We start from the raw sequence: 24,304 nt of genomic DNA on the forward strand, positions 1-24,304 counted from the left end.
AGGAAAGTTGTCCCCACCTCAATATTCCTGGCCCTCTCAGATCAAGGTCCAAGTCCCTTACTACAGCTTTCAAGACCCTCCACACTCCATTTCTAGCCTCACCTTGCAAGATTAATGACACACACACCCTGTCCAGCCTAATCAAACCGTGGGGCCTTCCTTGAGCATGTTCCGTGTGTCCCTGTCTCCATGCATTTGCTTGTGCTGCTCCCTCAGCCTGGAATGCTCGCCCTGAAACTCACTGGTTGCAGAAATCCTTTCCATCTTTCCCAGCTCAATTCAAGTAGCAGCTCTACCATGGACTTCTTGATTACCTGGGTGGAAGCATCTTATTCCTCCTCTGAACTCCTGTATCCCTGCGTAGCTCTCTCATGTGATTGATCAAATGCTACCTTGTAACAGAGATATTGAGGACAGAAACTAGCTTTCATCCATCCTTCTTTCTATCCTCTCATTGGTGCCTAGGCCTAGGATGGTGTCTAAGATAATGACGAGGAAACAGTGAGTTCAGCAAATATTTGCCAGCCTGAATTGAGTTTAAGGGTTCTTGATGGAAAATAAGGAGACAGCTCCAGAAGTGGAAGTGACCAACATTTCTTTCTCCTCTGCTTGCAGCTTAATAACTGTCATTTCATACCCAGTGATGGTGGATATCCTGGAGGTGACTGAACTGAGAGTCAGGAAGTGGAAGGATGGGAGACATGAATCCAATTTTTTTTCCAAATGCGAAATATGTTGTTCTTGAAATGGGCAAAAAGCATGCTATGCTGCAGCACAGTGTCATTTCACAGCGTGACCCATCTGCTATAATTGCTCTGTGCACATTTGTTCTGATATCTGGTCTGATTTGTGTGTCAAAGACCGAGTGATGAAGCCAATGAGAATTAGTGAGAATAGCCTCCAACTGAAAGGGGAAAATGGCACTGAGAACAGAAATGAAATGTAAGTGGGAGCAACTGGGAGACTAGCTAGCAGTTAAAGATCATTCTAGATTATTTTGGAAGTCAGATTGCTAAATAACACACTTAACAATGTTCATTGTTCATTCTCATTGGCCTGAGAAGAGATTAGAACTGGAAACCAGGAAATCTAAGTTGTTTTCATAGTTCTATCTCTTCTAACAATTAGCTCCAATTGGCCACAAATTTTGCATGTATGAAATGGTTCTGAGATACCTCACCAGCCATGTCCTAGAAAGTATGGAGCACAAGAAAGAAAGAAAGACACTTCTCTTCCAATTCATGTGCTGATAACTCCTGGCCTTTAATTCTATAAGAGGATTAGCTCATCCCGGATGACACAATTTGTGTCCATCCATCCCCAGATCATTTAATAGGCATCTCCTGTGTGCCAGGCTCTACAATATGTTCTGGGAATGGAAAAATGAACATTAAAGATAACTTATAATGTAGTTTAGATATTTGTCCCCTTCAAATGTCATGTTGACATGTGATTCCCAGTGTTGGAGATGGGGTTTGATGGGAAGTGTTTGGTTCATGGGGCAGATCCCTCATGAATGGCTTGGTGCTCTGCCTACAGTAATGAGTTCACATGAGATCTGATTTTTGCAAAAGTCTGGGACCTTCTCTCCTCCTTCTTCCCTTTCTAACTTATGTGACATGCCTGCTCTTCTTGCACCTCCCTCTATGAGTAAAAACTTCCTGAGGCCTCACCGGAAGCTGAGCAGATGCTGGTACCATGCTTTGCAGCTTGCAGAAGCATGAGGCAAATAAACCTCATTTCTTTATAAATTACCCAGTCTCAGGTATTTTGTACAGCAATGCAAAATGGACTAATATACCTTCTGTGGCAAAATAGCGTTCAGCATGGTTCTAGCCAAGTCCATGTTAGGTGTGTGACCTTGTGCAGCTGTCTTTCCATCTCTAAGCCTGTTTCTTCATCTGTAAAAATGAGATGACAATAGAATCCAACTCAAAGGATTGTCGTGAAGATCATATAAGGTAAAAATGTGCAAAGCTCTTAGCAGAATGTCTGGAAAACGGGAGACTTTCAACAAATGTGAGCAGTGATGACCATGATAATGATAATGATTTGACTGCCTCAGAGTAGTAGACCAGTTGGGAGTGGGAGCCAATCACATGACAGCTAATACAATTAAAAATACCCAATGTCTTGAGTAGAATCATTTTCTTGGGTTTGGTAGCTTAGAAGTTCCAAACATTTCTATTCTGTCCCTTGCAGATTCTCTGTTCAGTATTCCTGAGTTCCAGGCCTCAGTGCTTTAGTGTTGAGCCTCTAGCTTCTGCTTTTGGGACTCAGGAGTTCTGAATAGATGTGGCTATGACTCATGGCCCCTTCCCATATCATGGGAAGGGTGAAGAGGAGGCCTAGGCCAGCGCATGAGAAATACATTTGTTTTTGGTTCCCAGCTTCCCCAAAGTGCCATTTTCTGTATTGGAGAAGAGTAGATTCCCAGGAGTGACAAAAACTGAGGTTCTGAGAGAGTAAGTCACTTGGCCAAGGCCCTTCCTTGGTGTTAGGATTGGAACTCCAGCCCTAGCTTGCCAACTCTCACTACAATGCTCTCTCCATTGTGGCATTTTTCACTGAGCTTTGCATACTGAATGATGGGAAAAGAGCAAGGAGAGTTTGGTGGCCTTGAATCCATATCCTTCTTGATATGTTCTTTTCATCAATGAGTTCAAACAACTTCTGAGGTGAACTTTGCATAGCATCCCAGATTATCTTTTTCTGCTCTGTATGCTAGAGGATCAGCCCCAGCCTCCTTCTCTGTACTCCCAAAGCACCTGTGCTTTTCTTTTTATGGGGCAGCAATGTGCTAAGATAAAGTGAGATCCTCCTCCAGGCCCAAGGAATGACCCATGATACATCTAAAGCCAATCGCAATAATCCCGAAGATTGGCTAATTCTGACCAATAACACATAAAGATATATCTATTATGGCCAGGTGCGGTGGCTCATGCCTGTAATCCCAGCACGTTGGGAGGCCGAGGCGGATGGATCACTGAGGTCAGGAGTTCAAGACCAATCTGGCCAACATGGTGAAACCCCATCTCTACTAAAAATACAAAAATCAGCTGGGTGTGGTGGTGCACACTTGTAATCCCAGCTACTTGGGAGGCTGAGGCAGGAAAATCGCTTGAAGCCAGGAGGCAGAGGTTGCAGTGAGCCACTGCACTCCAGCCTGGGTGACAGAATGAGAATCTGTCTCAAAAATAAATAAATTAATAAAGATACATCTATTAGGGAAGGATGTATTCTCCTTGGGAAGGAATTTCCTCTCTGACAAGGAGAGGGGCTTTACAATACTATAAAGCTACAGTAATCAAGACAGTGTGGTACAGGCAAAAGAATAGAGAAATAAATAATGGAACTGAATACAGTGCCAGATTTGGACCCATATAAATATAGCCAACTGATCTTTGACAAAGGAACAGAGTCGATACAACAGAGCAAAGATTGTCTTTTCAATAAGTGGTGCTAGAGCAACTGGATATCCACATGCAAAAAACAAAAACAAAAACAAAACAAAAAAAAGATCTAGACATAGAACTTACCATACATTTTTCATAAAATTAATCCAAAATGGATTATAGACCTAAATGTAAAATGAAAAACTATAAAGCTCCTAGAAGATGACATAAAAGGAAAACCTAGAAGACATTGTGTATGGTGATAACTTTTCAATGCTTATATCTTACTTCTTTAATCAACTTATTTTAAGTTCCGGGATACATGTGCTGGATGTGCAGGTTTGTTACAGACGTAAACGTGTGCCATGGCGGTTTGCTGCCCAGATCAATCCATCATCCAGGTATTAAGCCCAAGTGATAAATTTTAAGGTACAATACTAAAGGCATGACCCATGAAAGAAAAAATCGGATCAAATGGATTTCATTAAAATTTAAAATTTCTGCTCTGCAAAAGACAATGCCAAGAGTGTGAGAAGATAAGCCACAGATTGTATAAAATATTTGAAAAAACACATCTGATAAAGCAGGGGTCTCCAACCCTCAGTACCTCCCCATGGCCTGTTAGGAACTGGGCCATACAGCTGGAGGTGAGCTGCGGGCAAGCCAGCAAAGCTGAGCTCTTCCTCCTGTCAGCTCAGCAGAGGCATTAGATTCTCATAGGAGTGCGAACGCTATTGTGAACTGTGCATGCGAGAGGTCTAGGTTGCACGCTCCTTATGAGAATCTAGTAAATGTAACGTGCTTGAATCATCCCCAAAACATCCCCCCACTCCACCCCAGTCCATGAAAAAATTATCTTCCATGACACAGGTCCCTGGTACCAAAAAGGCTGGAGAATGCTATGATAAAGGACTGTTACCCAAAATAGACAAAGAACTCTTAAAACTCAATAATAAGAAAAACAATCTGATTTTAAAATGGGCAAAGACCTTGATAGATACCTTACCAAAGTGTTGCTAAGATATCTATCAAGGTCTTTTCCCATTTTATACAGGTGGCAAATAAGTATATGAAAAATGTTCCACATGATATGTCATCAGAGAAACGCAGATTAAAACAACAATGAGATACTACTACACACTTGTTAGAATGGCCAAAATCGGGAACATTGATGTTACGGTTTAAATGTGTCTCATCCAAAATTCAGGTGTTGAAACTTAATGGCCAGTGTGATGGTATGAAGAGGTGGTGCCTAAGAGGTAATTATGCCATGAAGGAGGCCTCCTCTTTCATGAATGGGATTAAGATCTCTATAAAAGAAGCTTCACGCAGCATTCAGCTTGCTTGCCCTTCTGCCTTCCACCATGTGAGCTTGCAGCATTCCTCCCTCCCAGAGGGAGGGAGCAACAAGGCACTATCTTGGAAGCAGAGAGAAGCCCCCATCAGACAGCTCAACCTTCTGGTGGCTTGATCTTGGACTTCAGCACCCAAAACTGCAAGAAAATGAATTTCTGTTCTTTATAAATTACCACAACTACTCAATCTGTGGCATTCTGTGATAGCGGTACAAACAGAGTAAGATAATTGACAACACCAAATGCAGGTAAGGCTGTGGAGCAAAAGGAACTCTTGTTCACTCCTTGGGGAGTGCAAAATGGTACAGTGACTGGAAGACAGTTTAGTGGCTTTTAAAAAACTAAACATTATCTTACCATACAATCCAGCAATCACGCTCCTTGGTATTTACCCAAAATACTTAAAAACGTATGTCCACATGAAAACCTGCACATGGATGCTTACAGCAGCTTTATAATAATTGCCAAAACTTGGAAGCAACTAAGATGTCCTTCAGTCGGTGAATGGATAAACTGTGGTATATCCAGATGATGGAATATTATTCAGAACTAAAAATAAATGAGCTGTCAAGCCATGACAAGAAAAAAAGGAAACTAAAATGCATATTATGAAATGAAAGAAGCCAATCTGAAAAGGCTGGACATTGTATGAATCCAACTCTATAACATTCTGGAAAAGGCAAAACTATGGAGACACTATAAAAATCAGTGGTTGCCAGGGATTAGAGGGGGTGAGGGGAAGGATGAATAGGCAGAGCACAATGAGTCACCTGAGGTCAGGAGTTCAAGACCAGCCTGTCCAACATGGTGAAATCCCCTCTCTATGAAAAATACAAAATTTAGCCAGGCGTGATGGCATGTGCCTGCAATTCCAGCTACTCAGAATGGTGAGGCAGGAGAATCACTTGAACCCAGGAGGTGGAGGTTGCAGTGAACCGAGATTGTGCCACTGCACTCCAGCTAGGGCAACAGAGTGAGACTCTGTCTCAAAACAAACAAACGAAAAATAGGCAGAGCACAGAAGGTTTTTAGGGCAGTGAAACTATTGTGTATGATACTATAATGATGAACACATTTTATTATGCATTTGTCTAAACCCATAGAATTTATAAAACAAAGAGTTAACGCTATTGTGAACTATGAACTTTGGGTGATAATGAAGTGTCAATGTAGGTTCGTCAGTTGTAAGAAATGTACCACTCTGGTGAGGGATATTGATAATGGGGGAGGCTACGCATGTGTAGGGTCAGGGAGTATATTGGAAATCTCTGTACCTTTCTCTTCATTTTCTTGTAAACCTAAAACTGCCTGATAAATAATGTATTTAACAAAGAAAAATATAGAGGCTTCTAATTAAATTTCTTCTTGTGCCTCCAGCAAGAGAGAGGCAGAACATCTCCTCCTTACTCCCTGGGCCTTTGGGTGTTTTCATGATGATGAGGTGCTGTGGCAACCATCTTGTGACTCTGAGACAAAAATCAAGAGAATTAAGGAAAAGTCCCTGAGCTACTGAATCGCTTAATTTTGGAACTCTCTACCTTCAGACTTTTTTTTTACATTAAATAATAAAACTAAATTTTAAAAAATTCCCTCACTAATAGCTAAAAGCATTCTAGCTGATTTCAAAACCTTCCCGAAGGAGATGAGAACTAGGCCTCGAAAGATAATAGGATTTGGGTAGGCAGAAAGGAGGCAGTAGACCTTCTATTGGAGAATAAGTGAAGGCAAAGGAATGGGAGTGAGCCTGGCTAATGTGGCTGCTGGTGAGGGACCTCCAGCCTGCTGTGGAAAATGTCAACTGGAATAATTGGGCCTTTCTCTGAACTTATAGTACTTAGTCCACCTGTATTTGTGTATACATTTTAAAATATTTATTTGCATGCAGATTGTTTTCTATAGGAGGAGAAAAGTGGTTGGCTCAAGTGCTTTAGATACAAAAGGACAGAACAGTCTTTTCCTAGCTCTGTGGTCTCCTGGCTGGGCCCCTCACGCTTGTATTGGAGCATTATAGATAGCAGCTATAGGCAGAAGCTGGAATAACTGCTCTCACAGCGTACTCCATGAGACTGACCAATAGTACCTCTTTGGTTTCCAGGTAACTAAATGAGACAGAGGTGGGCAGGGGGTTCTCTCTAAGCCTGCAGAGCCATGGTGGGATGCCCTGAGAACTGTGTTAGCTAGCTCTGGGCACACCAGGGACAGCACACTTGGCCTCATCAGTGTTTCCCTGGAGGGTGCAGGCATCTATGCAGGGTGAGTTGCTGCTCCTAAGGGACTTCTCTTGCACGTGCCACCACAAGGGCAGGAGCGGAGAGAGAAAGACTACATGAACTGTGTGAATTCACTTGAGACAGCTCCAGGACACAGAAATAACAGCATGAGACCTAAAAAAATTTTATGAATACATAATGTACATACTGATGGGGTACACGTAATGTTTTGAAACAAGTACACAATGTGCAATGATCAAATCTGGGTAATTGGGATATTCATCACCTCAAGCATTTATCATTCCTTTGTGTTAGGAACATTCCAAATCTACTCTTCTAATTATTTTGAAATATACAATAAATTATTGTTAACTATAGTCACCCTATTGTGCTACCAAGCATTATATTTTATTCCTTCTAACTATTTTTTTTTTTTTTTTTACTCATTAGCCAATTCCTGTTTATATCTCTTCACCACACTACCCTCCCAGCCTCTGGTAACCACCATTCTATTCCCTACCTCAACAGTATGAAATTTTGAGGGGAACAAAGCCTTTCATTATTCAGGTGGCAGCCTGATTCTAGGAAATGGCAGCTATTTTAGTGAGTGTGACTCTGTTGGAATCCCTGGCACATGAGTCTAGGTCAAGATTTCTCAGTCTTGGCACTCTTGACTGACACTTTGGGCCAGATGACTCTTTGTTGTGAGGACTGTCCTGTGCATGATAGGATGAATATTCAGCAGCATCCTTGGCTTCTACCCACTAGATGCTAGGAGCAAACTACTCCCGAGCTGTAACAATCAAAACTGTCTCGAGACATTCCAGAACCACTGATCTAGAGAATCGTGGGAGGTGTGTGTGTATAAGGATATATATATACCAGCCATTTAGATTTCTACCTTTTCACTTTTAAAAAGCTTCAGTGAACTTTTTCTAGCTTAATTTTGTCACATCTTTATTTTCTTGGTTTAGATTCCTAGACACGGAGTTGCTTGGTGAAAGAGTGGCACACTTCAAGGTTTTTTATATATATTGACCAGTGGCCTCCAAAAAAGTATTTAATTCTGATTCCTACCAAATTTGACACTTCCTTTTCATCTTTACAGAGTTCAGTCTGGTTTTGCACATGGTAGGTGCTCAATAAATATTGCTATTTAGGTGATTGAATGTTAGCTGTGAGTATCCCTCCCTTTTTTTCTACTAAATATGTGGGCATGTTGGTATATGGCACTTCACAATAATTTTTATAAGGGCTGAGTCTGGAGAAGATGTTTGTGATATGGGATTATTCCCTGTAAATAAGTGCTTCTCAAGCATGATCCCGGAACTAGTAGCATCTGCATCACTTGGAAATGTGCTAGAAATGCCAATTCTCAAGCCCCACAAGGACCTACCCTGTGTTTTAAAAGTCCTCCAGGTGATCTTCTAAAAGCTAAAGTTTAAGAACCACTGCAATAGATAATAAAGTAAATCAACACATGCTGCTTTTATCAGCAGGAAAATAGCTGTTCCCTAAACACTCTAATGTCATTTCCCTGGTGGGAGTTGGCCAGCCTGCCCTTGGTTCATAAGAGGTTATGAGACTCAATCTAAATGCAAGTAATGCTTTCTAACTCCATCTGGTGCCTTGGTTGGTTTGAGAGGCCCATCTCATGCCTATACTTTATGCTCAGGCCCATCTCAGCCTGCTCCATGGCCCACAGCCTAGGAGCCAACAGCTGGGACGTTTAAATGCAGAATGATACTTGCATGTTCAACCTCATTTGCTAGATTGCTCATTAGATAGATAATGCTAGATAATGCTGTTATCTTGGCCAGATATGAAGTCCAATGTGAGCAAGGTGGCCATCTGTTCAGGGCTGGATCCTTTTGGTATAATCAGAGACTATGTGGCTCCAGTAGGCACTTCCACCAGAGACAGCAGCGCAGTCTCTGGGGCTGAACCATAGGGTTGGTCATGTGCTGGATAGAGGAGGAGGTGGGAGGGCACACAACTTCCAAGAGCCTTTCTTCTAGATGTGACAGTCTCAGGGCACCCATTGGCCTTCCCAAAGGAGAAGAGACACAAAGTCAGGGGATTACTTTGGAAGGATGCCACACTGCAGTCAGCAGGGACTTCTGTGCTTGAACTCACACCTGGTTCCCCTCATCCCCTGTGGGTCAGAAATAAATCCATAATAACAGCTCCTGACATCTGTAATCCCTGGGGCTTACAGGATTCTGTGTTTGCAGTTCTCTAATTAGACTGAGACCTTTTTGTTGTTGTTGTTGAGACAGAGTGGTCTCACTCTGTCACCCAGGCTGGAGTGCGGTGGTGTAATCATGGCTCACTGCAACCTCCCATCTCAGCCTCCTCCGTGGGCTCAAGCCATCCTCCCATCTCAGCCTCCTAAGTAGCTGGGACTACATCATACCCGGCTAATTTTTGTATTTTTTGTAGAGACAGGATTTCGCCATGTTGCCCAGGGTGTTCTTGAACTAGTGAGTTCAAGCAATCTTCTCACCAGCCTCAGCCTCCCAAAGTGCTGGAAACACGGTCAGGAGCCACCACACCTGACCCTCGACTGAGGCCTCTCTTAAAGGCAGGGGCTCAGCTTGGCTTATAATGGTCATTTTTAAATGGGGCTGACTGCACTTTAAATGCTCATACGCTAAATTGCTTAATCTTCAGGATTCCCAAGGAACACCAGGCCCTGCCCACAGACAGATACATACTCCCAAGAAGCTAATTATATACAGGGGTTGAAAAACTTAATGTGAAACAATTAGTCAAAACTCTTCTTTGGAACCAGTTCCAGGTACTGCTTTGTAACTGAGAATTTTAAAACTGGTGAAATGCTGCTGGGCGCAGTGGCTCATGCCTGTAATCCCAGCGCTTTGGGAAGCTGAGGCGGGCGGATCATGAGGTCAGGAGTTTGAGACCAGACTGGCCAACATGGCGAAACCCTGTCTCTACTAAAAATACAAAAAATTAGCTGGGCTTGGTGGCAGGTGCCTGTAATCCCAGCTACTTGGGAGGCTGAGGCAGGAGAATGGCGTGAACCTGGGAGGCAGAGGTTGCAGTGAGCCGAGACAGTGCCATTGCACTCCAGCCTGGGCGACAGAGTGAGACTCCGTCTCAAAAAATAAAAATAAAAATAAAAATAAAAATGATGAAATGCATCATCATTCATATCTGATCCCTCTATCCCAGATTGATAGCAGTTTATTCTGTGACCAGTTCAGAGGTTCAGCAACTCAAGGTGATAGAGTTAAATTCTAAACAAGCCATCAAACTCTGCCTCTTCTCTGGCTGTGAGACAGCAACTTGTGAAAATAATTTCATCTGATTTAAGCAGACCAGGGCTGCAAATAAAGCAGCTGTTCTAAGGAAGTGGGTGCTGCAGTTATAACAGTAAGCGCTGAAGTGGGTGTCCAAATGCTGACAGTCAGAACATGTGTGCATGACTGGGCAGCTCTGTTAGCTGTGAATGGTATAGCATGGCATGAATGGAATGTGCTGGAATGCAGAGGACTCCCTGGGGTTCTTGTTGACCATTACATGGGTGGAGGGTGACCAACTGGTTTTTAGCACTGAAAGTTCTAAATAGAACTTTCTGGGAATGAGGGGACAGATATGAATGATGATGCATTTCATTATTTTTATTTTTATTTTTTGAGACAGAGTCTCACTCTGTCGGCCAGGCTGGAGTGCAATGGCACTGTCTTGGCTCACTACAACCTCTGCCTCCCGGCTTCACGTCATTCTCCTGCCTCCGCCTCCTGAGTAGCTGGGATTACAGGTGCCTGTCCTGGGAAGCCCCCTCAGTCCTTGGCGAACCAAGATGGTTGCTCACTCACCCTGTGTGGCTTTCAGATGTTTCAGCTCACTCTGTTCCCACGGCAGCCCGTCCTTCAGAGGTGGCTGAGTTCTTCATGAGACACATTGCAAGCAGCCCTGGAAAGTAAGGGTGCCCCATTAACCTTTCAGATCTGAACTATTTTCTGCCTATGAAGTGCATGTTCGGTTTTTATAGATTTTATATGTTTTCCCATCTTTCAGATCTAGCGCTGGCAAGCAGGTGGTATGGGAGTCCTAAAGTGGGGCAGCTGCTGATGTTGGAGGTAGATCCTGCCTCAGCACTGAGGCCAGGCTTCTGCAGAATCCTTTGAGGCTTCTGTCCTGAACTTCCAAAGTTCCAGCAGGAGGTGTTGGGCTAAGGTCAGGTGTCACAGTGGGAGTACGTTGCAGAAGCATAATATTCCAGAGGTTTCAGGGGCTTTCCCATTCAGTTAGTCAGTTTGTCACATCCCTCATCCCTAAGACTGGCCAGGCACATTTCCCTTTAGATGCTTATTGATGCCATTTTGGATTTTGTGGCATTCCCTAGAATGTCTAGAATGTTTAAAGTTCTGAAAAGCACTTAGTTCTCAAATATTTGAAAACAGAGGCAAAAGAATGTGTTGAGAGTGTGATTTCTGGAATCAGACTTCCTGTATTTAATCCCAGATCTTCCCTTTAATATCTATGACCCTGGGCATGTTACTTCAATTCTCTAACCTCAGTTTCGTTACCTGTATGTGTATATATATATACACACACATATATATATACACACACATATATATACACACACACATATATATATACACACACATATATATATATATACACACACACACATATATATATACACACACACACTTTGAAGAATGGGTATCCATCCCCTCAAGCGCTTATTCCAAGTTGCAAACAGTCCAATTACACTCTAAGTTTTTAAAAGATGTACTGTTATTATCAACTATAGTCACCCTGTTGTGTTATCAAATAGTAGGTCTTATTCATTCTTTCTACTTTTTTTGTTTCCATTAACTATCCTCACCTCCCTCAACCCCCTATTACCCTTCCCAGCCTCTGGTAACCATCCTTCTACTCTCTATGTCCATGAGTTCAATTGTTTTGATTTTTAGATCCCACAAAAAAGTGAGAACATGTGATGTTTGTCTTTTTCTTCCTGGTTTATATTTCACCTAACATAATGATCTCCAGTTCCATCCATGTTGTAGCAAATGACTGGATCTCCTTCTTTTTACTGGCTGAGTAGTACTCCATTGTATATATGTGCCACAGTTTTTTTTAATCCATCCACCTGTTGATGGACACTAATGTTACTTCCAAATGTTAGCTATTGTAAACAGTGCTGCAACAAACATGAAAGTGCAGATATCTTGTCGATATACTGATTGCCTTTCTTTTGGGTATATACCCAGCAGTGGGATTGCTGGATCAAATGGTAGCTCAATTTTTAGTGTTTTGTGGAATCTCCAAACAATTTTCCACAGTGGTTGTGCTAATTTACATTCCCACTGACAGCGTACAAGTGTTTGTTCCCTTTTCTCCACATCCTTGCCAGAATTTTTTATTGCCTGTCTTTTGGATACAAGCCATTTTAATTGGAGTGAGATGATGTCTCATTGTGATTTTGATTTGCATTTCTCTGATGATCAGTGCTGTTTAGCACCTTGTCATATACCTGCTTGCCATTTCTATGTCTTCTTTTGAGAGATGTCTATTCAAATCTTTCGGCCATCTTTTGACTGGATTATTAGATATTTTCCTATAGAGTTGTTTGAGTTCTTTATGTATTCTGGTTACTAATCCCTTGTCAGATGGGTAGTTTGCAAATATTTTTTCCCATTCTGTGAGTTGTGTCTTCACTGTGAATTGTATCCTTTGTTGTGCAGAAGCTTTTTAACTTGATGTGATCTCATTTGTCCACTTTTGCTTTGGTTACCTGTGCTTGTTGGGTATTGCTCGAGAAATTTTTGCCCAGATTAATGTCCTAGAGATTTTCCCCAATGTTTTCCTGGTGTAGTTTCATGGTTTGAGGTCTTATATTTAAGTTAACATATATTAAGTGTTTTGAGGACAGAATAGTGCAAATGGAAAGAGTTTAATAGACACAGCTACAAAATATACCTCTATTACTTCCTAGCTGTGTAGTCATGGGCAATTTAATTCACCTCTTCGAGCCTCAATTCCCTCATCTGTAAAGTCTTATCTCATAGATTACTTATGAGAATTAAATGAGATGACTAGGTAAAATTTCCAGCATATTGCCTGGCACCCTGCTTGCTTAATACATATTTATACTTTCCTATACACGATAAGTTAACATAGATTTGGTGCCAAAACAATTTAGTCATGTTCACCAAATAATCATATATGAGGCACTACTGGTGATTATTGAACTTGGTCCTTGGACTGTCATTGTTCTTGGTTAAGGTGCAGCAGATGTTAACTTTAAAATAGACATTTGGGTTCTTTGGTATTTCAACGGCAAGGGATGCTGTAGCAAATTTCTATGAACCCGGTAGCTGAGCAGATACAGTCTCACTTTATAACAAAGCATATTTTCATGAGACTCATGGAAATGGTTTACCAACTCCCAGAGGATTTGGTTACAATCACAATATTGCTTACCAGCTGTAAATGAAGGCTTTTGCCTGTCTGGAGCCAGCTCAGCACCATGAAGTATCTGGAGAAGAGCCAACAGGTCATGGAATTCTTTCTTCAGATGCTGCTCATCACTGCTTGCCTGGTCCCAAAAGATTTGTCCTGTGTCTTTTGTCCCTTCTATCCCCTGCTTGGATAGCATTCACTATCCTTCTTTTTTCATCTGATACCTTCTCTGGCTTGCAAAGGCCTTTCTACAGTCTTCCCTCCCTCTCTTTCCCACACAAGGCATGCTTCCATACAGCATTACATTGTCTATTTGCTCCTCTTGCCAGAATCCTTGGAAGCACCTATCCTTTGGGCTCGATATCTCACTCCCTGAGTGGCCAAACAATGAGATTCTTCCTGACTCACAAGCAAAGTTCATGGTTCCAAGGAAAAGCCAATGTTATCCATGGCAACCCTGAAAGATGAGTGAGCCCCATGCCAGCCGCTGCATGGGAAAGGCCAACAGCAAAATATCTTTACCTGACATATACACTCACATTCTTTTCACTACCTTCCATTTTTACCAGAATCCAGGCAGACTGATAATACATTCTAGATAATTGTTCTAAGCCATTCTTGAATATTTAATAGAGTAGATAATGTATAGGTGGTACCATCTGCATCTTTTTGTTACCTTTAACTGTTCATACTTCTGGTTATCCGATATTTGATATGAACATAAAGCTGAATGAACAATGTGGTTGCTTTGTGAATATGAGTTATTCATTCCTAACCTCACTGTTGGAATACCTACAATATGCCACGCCTGTGCCAAGCCCCATGATAACAGGTCAAATAAGACATAACATATTTGCATGACACTTACATTATGATGAGTGACAGAGAAATACATCAGTGATGACAGGACTGCATAGTATTAGGTTGGTGCAAAAGTAGTCGCGGTTTTTACCATTACTTTCAATGGCAAAAACCATGATTACTTTTGCACCAACCTAAAAAAACTATGACACAAGCATGGATAAGGAAAGCATCAAACCCTACTGGGATGGTGGGGTAGGGATAGAACACGGAGGAGCGTTTGGAAGACAATCACACTAAGCTCACTGCTGGAACAATGGGTAGAAACCAGATAAATGAAGACAGATTGGAGGGAGACCTGTGTCTCCTTCAGCCCTCAGTGTCTGCTGATTTTGTCACTGTAGACAGTACTTTACCCCTGCTCTCTCTCTCTCTGCATTAGGGACTCTGGAACTTTCATATAAGGAACAGAAATCCCTCAGTTTTTTATAGTGCAATTAAAAATATAAAATCTCCCTTTCATGCGCGTCCGTGTGAAGAGACCACCAAACAGGCTTTGTGTGAGCAACATGGCTGTTTATTTCACCTGGGTGCAGGCGGGCTGAGTCCAAAAAGAGAGTCAGCAAAGGGAGATAAGGGTGGGGCCGTTTTATAGGATTTGGGTAGGTAAAGGAAAATTACAATCAAAGGGGGTTTGTTCTCTGGCGGGCAGGAGTGGGGGTCGCAAGGTGCTCAGTGGGGGTGCTTTTTGAGCCAGGATGAGCTAGGAAAAGGACTTTCACAAGGTAAAGTCATCACTTAAGGCAAGGATCGGCCATTTTCACTTCTTTTGTGGTGGAATGTCATCAGTTAAGGTGGGACAGGGCATATTCACTTCTTTTGTGATTCTTCAGTTACTTCAGGCCATCTGGGCGTATTCGTGCAAGTCACAGGGGATGTGATGGCTTGGCTTGGGCTCACAGGCCTGACATTCCTGCCTTCTTATATTAATAAGAAAAATAAAACAAAATAGTGTTGAAGTGTTGGGGTGGTGAAAATTTTTGGGGGGTGGTATGGAGAGAGAATGGGCGATGTTTCTCAGGGCGCTTCAAGTGGGATTAGGGGCGGCGTGGGAACCTAGAGTGGGAGAGATTAAGCTGAAGGGAGGCCTTGTGGTAAGGGGTGATATTGTGGGGATGTTAGAAGAAACATTTGTCATATAGAATGATTGGTGATGGCCTGGATACGGTTTTGGATGAATTGAGAAACTAAATGGAATAACAGAAGGAGAAAAACAGGTATAAAAGGTCTAAGAATTGGGACGACTCAGGATATCTGATCAGGGAGTGCCTAAGGAGACTCAGCATAGTCCTGCCAGCAAAGATTATTTATTTACTTCAAGAGTTAAGAGTGGCAGTTTGGGGATAGCACCAGGAGATATCAGCTGTGATGGCTTGGAAAAACAGTGTAAACCAGCAGTGTAAACAAGAGCAGAGCATGTATGAGTAGTTGAGAATGGTGAATAGGAGTATGACTAGACAGAAGATAGTAAGGATGACAAGTTTTTTTGGGGGGCACAGTGTAAGTTGGTCTGGTGTCTGGAATGAGACTGAGGCCTAATAAAAAGGAGCGTCTATACAGGAGCTCAAATGGGCTGTACCCTGTAGCATTCCGAGGACAGGCCTGAATTCTGAGAAGGGAAAGTGGTAAAAGTATTGTCCAGTCCTTTTTAAGTTGGTGGCTGAACTTGGTGAGATGTGTTTTTAAAACACCTTTAGTCCATTCTACTTTTCTTGAAGACGGAGGACCGTAAGGGATATAAAGGTTTCACTGAATACTAAGAGCCTGAAAAACTGCTTGGCTGATTTGACTAATAAAGGCTCGTCTGTTATCAGACTATATTGAGGTGGGAAGGCTAAACTGAGGAATTATGTCTGACAGAAGGGAAGAAATGACTGCGGTGGCCTTCTCAGACCCTGTAGGAAAGGTCTCTACCTATCCAGTGAAAGTATCTACCTAGACTAAGAGGTATTTTAGTTATCTGACTCAGGGCATGTTGAGTAAAGCTAATTTGCCAGTCCTGGGTGGGGCAAATCCTCGAGCTTGATGTGTAGGGAAGGGAGGGGGCCTGAATAATCCCTGAGGAGTAGTAGAATAGCAGATGGAACACTGAGAAGTTATTTCCTTGAGGATAGATTTCCACGATGGAAAGGAAATGAGAGGTTCTAAGAGGCGGGCTAGTGGCTTGTACTATAGCATAACCTGCCTTTGCTGGTGTGTGGTGATTAGGCCAGGTGGAACTGCCATCAACAAATCAAGCATGATCAGGGTGAGGAACAGGAAAGAAGGAAATTTGGGGAAATGGGGTGAATGTCAGGTGGATCAGAGAGATACAGTCATGGGGGTCAGGTGTGGTATCAGGAATAATGTGGGAGGCCGGATTGAAGTCTGGGCCAGGAACAACGGTAATTGTGGGAGACTCAACGAAGAGTGAGTATAGCTGAAGGAGCCGGGAAGCAGAAAATATATGCATCAGGTATGAGGAAGAAAATAGATTTTGGAAGTTATGAGAACTGTAGAGAGTGAGTTGAGCATAGTTTGTGATTTTGAGGGCCTCTAAAAGTATTAATGCAGCGGCAGCCGCTGCACGCAGACATGAGGGCTAGGCTAAAACAGTAAGGTCAAGTTGTTTGGCCAGAAAGGCTACAGGGTGTGGTCCTGGGTCTTGTGTAAGAATTCTGACCACGCTAACCATGCCTAGGAAGGAAAGGAGTTGTTGTTTTGTAGAAGGTGCTGGGATTTGAGAGATCAGTCGGACACGATTGGCAGGAAGAACACGTGTGTTTTTATGAGAATTATGCCGAGATAGGTAACAGATGAGGAAGAAATTTGGGCTTGATTGAAGTAATGGGGGCTGTCTGTGAAGCTTTGCAGCAGTACAGCCTAGGTAATTTGCTGAGCTTGATGGGTGTCAGGGTCAGTCCAAGTGAAAGTGAAGAGAGGCTGGGATTAAGGGTGCAAAGGAATAGTAAAGAAAGCATGTTTGAGATCTAGAACAGAATAATGGGTTATAGAGGCAGGTATTGAGGATAGGAGAGTATATGGGTTTGGCACCACGGGGTGGATAGGCAAAACAATTTGGTTGGTAAGGCGCAGATCCTGAACTAACTTGTAAGGCTTGTCTGGTTTTAGGACAGGTAAAATGGGGGAATTGTAAGGAGAGTTTATAGGTTTTAAAAGGCCATGCTGTAGCAGGCGAGTGATAACAGGCTTTAATCTTTTTAAAGCGTGCTGCGGGATGGGATATTGGCGTTGAGTGGGGTAAGGGTGATTAGGTTTTAATGGGATGGTAAGGGGTGCATGATCGGTCGCCAAGGAGGGAGTAGAGGTATCTTATACTTGTGGGTTAAGGTCGGGGGATACAAGAGGAGGACACAAAGGAGGCTTTGGATTGGGAAGAAGGGCGGCAATGAGATATAGCTGTAGTCCAGGAATAGTCAGGGAAGCAGATAATTTAGTTAAAGTGTCTCAGCCTAATAAGGGTACTGGGCAGGTGGGGATAACTAAAAAGGAGTGCTTAAAAGAGTATTGTCTAATTTGGCACCAGAGTTGGGGAATTTTAAGAGGTTTAGAAGCCTGGCCGTCAATACCCACAACAGTTATGGAGGCAAGGGAAACAGGCCCTTGAAAAGAAGGTAATGTGGAGTGGGTAGCCTCCGTATTGATTAAGAAGGGGAGGGACTTACCTTCCACTGTGAGAGTTACCCAAAGCTCGGCGTCCGTGATGGTCTGGGGGCTTCTGAGGCGATCGGGCAGTGTCAGTCTTCAGCCGCCAAGCCGAGAAGATCTGGGAAGGAGTCAGTCAGAGAGCCTTGGGCCAGAGTTCCATGGGCTCTGGGAGTGGCTGCCAGGTGAGTTGAACAGTCCGATTTTCAGTGGGGTCCCACACAGATGGGACGTGCCTTAGAAGGAATCCTGGGCTGCGGGCCTTCCTTGGCCCAGTGGCCAGATTTCCAGCACGTGTAGCAAGCTCCTGTGGGAGGAGGTTCTGGAGGAATGGCTGGCCGCTGCGGTTCAGGCGTTTGGAAGTTCCTGTGTGCTGGAGATGTGGCTGGGGTTTGTCTCACAGTGGAGGCAAGGAATTGCAACTTTTTTCTATTATCGTACACCTTGAAGGTGAGGTTAATTAAATCCTGTTGTGGGGTTTGAGGGCTGGAATTTAATTTTTGGAGTTTTATTTAATGTCGGGAGCAGATTGGGTAATAAAATGTATTTTGAGAATAAGACGGCCTTTTGACCTTTTAGGGTCTAGGGCTGTAAAGTGTCTCAGGGTTGCTGCCAAACAAGTCATGAACTGGGCTGGATTTTTATATTTGATGAAAAAGAGCCTAAACACTATCTGATTTGTGATAAAGAAAAAGGAGCATTAACGTTGACTATGCCTTTGGCTCCAGCCACCTTTTTAAGAGTAAATTGCTGGGCAGGTGGGGGAGGGCTAGTCATGGAACGAAACTGTAAGCCCGACCAGGTGTGAGGAGGGGAGGCGATAAAAAGATTATAGGGTGGAGGAGCGGAGGCTGAGGAAGAATTGGGACCTAGCTCGGCCTGGCGAGGAGGGGAGAGGTCAGATTGGTCTGTAGAAAAGGAAGATTAGAAAGACTCAGCGACTCTTGGGATTGGGACTGAGGGGACAGGTGGGAGGGAAAGAAGATTTGGGACGAGTTGCACGGGGCACAGAGACTAGGAAGGGACTGATGTGTAAAAGAATGCCTGGACTTCAGGCACCTCAGACCGTTTGCCTATTTTACGACAAGAATTATTTAGATCTTGCAGGATGGAAAAATTCAAAGTGCCATTTTCTGGCTATTTGGAACTACTGTCAAGTTTGTACTGGGGTCAAGTGGTATTGCAGAAGAAAATAAGGCATTTAGGTTTTAGGTCAGGTGTGAGTTGAAGAGGTTTTAAGTTTTTGAGAACACAGGCCAAGGGAGTAGAAGGAGGAATGGAGGGTGGAAGGTTGCCTATAGTGAAGGAAGCAAGCCTAGATAAAAGAGAGAGTAGAGAAATGGAGGGAAGGGGTTCGGGGGTTCTTACCTTCCAGAAAAGTGGGAAAAGGTGTTGGGGCACAGAGATAAGAGGTCGGGGCACGGAAATAAGGGATGGGGTGTAGAAATAAGGGGTCGGGGCACAGAAATAAGGGATTGGGGTGCAGAGATATGAGGTTGGGGTGCAGAAATAAGGGATTGGGGGTTCTTGCCCCTAGGAAAGCGGGACTTGCCGCTAAGGGTGAAAGAGAAGGGGTTGAGGGGTACTTGCCCCTGCCCCAGGAAAGCGGGACTTGCCACTAAGGATGAAGGAGAAGGGGTTGAGGGGTACTTGCCCCTGCCCCAGGAAAGTAGAGAAGGGGTAGAGACAAGGAGAGAAGGGGTTGGGGTACTTGCCCCTTCCCCAGAAAAGCAGGATTTGCTGCTAAGGGTGAAGGACCAAGGCAGGCGTCCCTGCGTGGTCTGACACCTTTGTTTTTTTTTCTTTTTTTTTTTCTTTTTCTTTTTTTTGTTAATATTATACTTTAAGTTTTAGGGTACATGTGCACAATGTGCAGGTTAGTTACATATGTATACATGTGCCATGCTGGGGTGCTGCACCCATTAACTCGTCATTTAGCATTAGGTATATCTCCTAATGCTATCCCTCCCCCCTCCCCCCACCCCACAACAGTCCCCAGAGTGTGATGTTCCCCTTCCTGTGTCCATGTGTTCTCACTGTTCAATTCCCACCTATGAGTGAGAACATGCGGTGTTTGGTTTTTTGTCCTTGCGATAGTTTACTGAGAATGATGATTTCCAATTTCATCCATGTCCCTACAAAGGACATGAACTCATCATTGTTTATGGCTGCATAGTATTCCATGGTGTATATGTGCCACATTTTCTTAATCCGGTCTATCATTGTTGGACATTTGGGTTGGTTCCAAGTCTTTGCTATTGTGAATGGTGCCGCAATAAACATACGTATGCATAGGTCTGACACCTTTGAAACGTGGGTGAATAATCAGAGAGGTGTCCCTGCAATGATTAAACGCCAAGGGAAGGCTGCCTTCCCAGTCTGTGACCGGCGCCGGAGTTTTGGGTGCACAGATAAAACGTGTCTCCTTTGTCTCTCCCAGAAAATGAAAGGAATTGAAATTAAGAGAAGGGAGAGATTGAAGAGTGGAAAGAAGAAAGTGGTTGAGGGACAGTGAGAGAGGTTGGAGAAGAGAGTAAGAAGATGCCGCTTACCTGATTTAAAATTGGTGAGATGTTCCTTGGGCTGGTGGGTCTGAGGACCTGAGGTCGTAGGTGGATCTTTCTCACGGAGCAAAGAACAGGAGGACAGGGGATTGATCTCACAAGGGAGGTCCTCCGATCCGAGTCACGGCACCAAATTTCATGTGTGTCCATGTGAAGAGACCACCAAACAGGCTTTGTGTGAGCAACATGGCTGTTTATTTCACCTGGGTGCAGGCGGGCTGCGTCCGAAAAGAGAGTCAGCAAAGGGAGATAAGGGTGGGGCCGCTTTATAGGATTTGGGTAGGTAAAGGAAAATTACAGTCAAAGGGGGTTTGTTCTCTGGCGGGCAGGAGTGGGGGTCGCAAGGTGCTCAGTGGGGGTGCTTTTTGAGCCAGGATGAGCCAGGAAAAGGACTTTCACAAGGTAATGTCATCACTTAAGGCAAGGACTGGCCATTTTCACTTCTTTTGTGGTGGAATGTCATCAGTTAAGGTGGGACAGGGCATATTCACTTCTTTTGTGATTCTTCAGTTACTTCAGGCCATCAGGGCATATTCGTGCAAGTCACAGGGGATGCGATGGCTTGGCTTGGGCTCAGAGGCCTGACACTCCCCATTTAGAAAGTAGTGACTTGCTGTTTGGGGTAAGTTTCTCTACCCTATATTCAGGCATGACCTATAATTTTAGTTTTTGGTTTGTTCCCCACTAGCCCCTCATAATACCAGCTTGCAGCCTGAGTAGGTTACCCTGGATCTCTGAGTTAGAAGACATACAATTTTTACACTGCCCCACGTCCTCACCTTTGGCCCTTCTCAAGGAGTCTGTAATCATGGGAAAAGGGCAAATGAATTTCAGGATGGAAGAGTTTTCTGCTTACAGAGCTCAGGCCTGTATAACTGCCCAGGGGAATGGTTGGGCAGTCAGGGAATGGTATTGAAGATTCTGCATGCCAGGAGAATAAAGAGGAAAAGAAGGGGAGATTATAAAGCAAATAAGATAGGCACAAACATAAACTTGGCCTTCCTCAGGGTATTTTTGTGGAGTTCTGATTATGTTGCTTTCTAAGTTGTTCTGGCCAACAAAGAATGAGGGTATAGTGTCTTCTGAGAGATAAGAAGGCATTAGCAAAACATCTGCATTTGCATATGGACACACATCTCAATCACTTCCTCTTTCCTAGGGAAGCACCTTATTCTCCAGATATATCTTCTAGGCCTGGTCCTGATTGGGTCTGCAGTTTCAGTGCTGCAGGTCATGATGCTATGGGCCTTGCCTAGAGCCTGAGGTGTGGGACACCACTATCCCATGGGATTTAATTTTGCTCAAAGCCCTTTAACACCAGTTTCTGGCCAAGGCTTTACTGGCTGTCTGTGATTATAACCAACTATTTTCTGGCTTTGAGAACCTCACATAACCTCGCTAGTAATTCATAACTGGCATAGAATTTTGAGTCTAGCATTAGAATTTAATACAAGGGCCAATTAGAAAAAATGTTGCATTGCCCCTCACAGTTCATGCTTCAATAAAGTCCAAAAGGAAAACCATAGATTGTGATTATTTAATATTGTTTTGGTACATGGTCTACTCCAAGGCAAAACAAAATGCAATTTATTCCATACACTGAGAAATAAGGTAAAGCATGTTGTAATTTTATCAGAATTTTGTAGGGGACAAGATAATTTAAAGAAAATGTTTTCTTCTGGTCAAAGTCACCTTTTTTCCCTATATGTACTTTGAACTATGTAACTGATAGCATTCTCATTCTTTCAAGCAATATAGGGAAGAAATAGTGGATTTAAAATTTTCCCTTTTGAAGAACAGTCCAATCAAAAGAATGTTGCATTGATAACACTGAAATCACTTGGAATAATAAATGCAAAATGCTGTAAATGTAATGTGGTATGATTATGCAAGAAAAAAATAAGACAGTTAAAGAAGTTCTATCTTTCTGTAAGAAATTTTCAAAGGATGTTTCAAAGGCAGAATTATAATCTTCGGTGTAAGGGGGTAGTGATAACCGACATGTCATGCCTCCAGAACCTATTCTGCTTTGTTTTTGCTTCTGTCAAAACACAGTCTGTCATTGAGATTGAATTAAGATTTCATCTCCTCCTCTAATTATCTATTCATTTATTTAAAGAGGAGTCAGGAGGCTAGCCGAACATTAAAAGCTGACTGTGACCTCCTAAAAAGATGAGTCAGGAAATAAACTGGGGAGCACCATGAATCATGGCAGAAATATATTGACTGGGGAAATATAAGCTGCTCTTGCTCAGACGCTGAAAACACCAAGCCCTTATCTTTTATGGTTGGTGCCACGGTTTCTCAAATACAGTCTGATGGATCTGGGAGAGCAGAACTCTTAGCGGAAGTTATTTCTTTCCTTGTTATGGATCCAGAATTCTCTTGGGCATAAACTACTTTCCTTCTTGGCTGGTGACCTCAGGCAATTATGAGGACTTGAGGATGATGGAGCTGGGGTATCTGTCAACTCACCGGTTGCCAGAGTCCATGTGACTAATATGGCTGGCTTGATGTTCTCTTCCTCACTCATCACATAGTGAGGAATCCTCCTGAAATTCCGTGCCTGGTCAGAGAGAATGATGTTCCCTAGTAGAGAAGAACTGTTCTTCAATCAAAAGTAAGCTGTCACAGAACTCCCCTGCAAGAACCTTTGTACCAGTTAAACTATTACTGGCGAATTTAAGCAGAAAATGAGGATTATTATAAGGGTAGTGGGCATATTTTTAGAAGAAAATGTAAAAAAAAAATTATGACCTTGGTAATGATGAGGAAACATTTCTTACACAAGATGAAAAGCACAATCTATGCAAGAAAACTGATAAATATGGCTACATTAAAATATAATTAAAATCTATGCATCAAAAGACACTGGAGACAAAGTAAAAGCACCTAGGGAAAATATTTGCAAAACAAGTATATTTTTCATCTCATGTATTGTAATTTTCACCTCTAGAATTTCAATAAGGATATTTTTATATCTTCCATATTTATAATGTTCAATCTTTCCTCTAGCTTTTTGAACATATGGAATATAGTTATAATAATTTTTAAGTGCTTGTCTGATAATTGAAACATTTATACATCTGAGTCAGTTTCAATTGTTAATTTTTATTCTTGTTGAGGGCTACTATATTTTCCTGATAAGCTTTGATAGGAATGGCAGACATTGCAAATTTTACCTTGTTAGGCATTGAATACTTTTGTATTCTTGTTGGAAATAGTTTGATTGCTTGGGGCAATACTTTTATTGTTTTCAGGTCGGCCATAACTACATTTATTGTAGGGATAATTAAATTCATTGCTGAGGTATGTGCCTTCTGACTACCAAATTTCCTCTGAATTATAATGTTTTACAGTTTGGCTGGTGGGAACAGAGTAGGGGGGCAAGGCGGAGAGTAGGTTTGGAGGAATGAACAGAAGGTATCTAAGAGGCATCCATTGGAGATTCTGAGACAGGAATGGCTGGGATGGAACCTAGGAGTTTGTACTTTTAACCGTAAACCAAATGATGTTTACCAAGCTTGAGAAACACTGTTCAAGGGTAAATGGCTAGAAGTGAAATTGCTTGATCATAGTGTGTGTGAGTTATTGATTTTTAAGCTAAATTATTTTGCGTTGTGACCATGTCAATTTAATCTACAACCTGCCGTATAGAAAAACAACTAATGTCCTCCTCAATCTCACCAAATACTTGATATTGTTAAACTTTTCAAAATTTGCTAACTTAATTAGTAAAACATGAAATATTTTTTGTTGTATTATTATTGATATTTATCTGATTTCCAAGAAGATGAATATATTTTCATATATTTGTCATTTCAATATCC

At 42.6% G+C, this 24,304-nt stretch overlaps 1 pseudogene, besides 2 other annotated features; it reads left to right on the forward strand.

Moving 5' to 3' along the window:
* Positions 9,915-11,114: an enhancer, noted in NCBI's record as "MED14-independent group 3 enhancer chr10:60615945-60617144 (GRCh37/hg19 assembly coordinates)". NCBI's record gives its function as "activates an origin of replication core promoter dependent on BRD2, BRD4, P300/CBP and CDK7 cofactors, and independent of MED14, by STARR-seq in HCT116 cells {active_cell/tissue: HCT116}" and the evidence as "EXISTENCE:reporter gene assay evidence [ECO:0000049][PMID:35650434]".
* Positions 10,252-10,868: an enhancer, noted in NCBI's record as "H3K27ac-H3K4me1 hESC enhancer chr10:60616282-60616898 (GRCh37/hg19 assembly coordinates)". NCBI's record gives its function as "activates a minimal SCP1, AML or CMV promoter by ChIP-STARR-seq in primed H9 embryonic stem cells {active_cell/tissue: H9 hESC(primed)}" and the evidence as "EXISTENCE:reporter gene assay evidence [ECO:0000049][PMID:30033119]".
* Positions 22,914-23,258, forward strand: RN7SKP196 (RN7SK pseudogene 196; annotated as a pseudogene).

The sequence above is a fragment of the Homo sapiens genome, chromosome 10, assembly GCF_000001405.40.
Source record: "Homo sapiens chromosome 10, GRCh38.p14 Primary Assembly".
Classification (NCBI taxonomy): domain Eukaryota; kingdom Metazoa; phylum Chordata; class Mammalia; order Primates; family Hominidae; genus Homo; species Homo sapiens.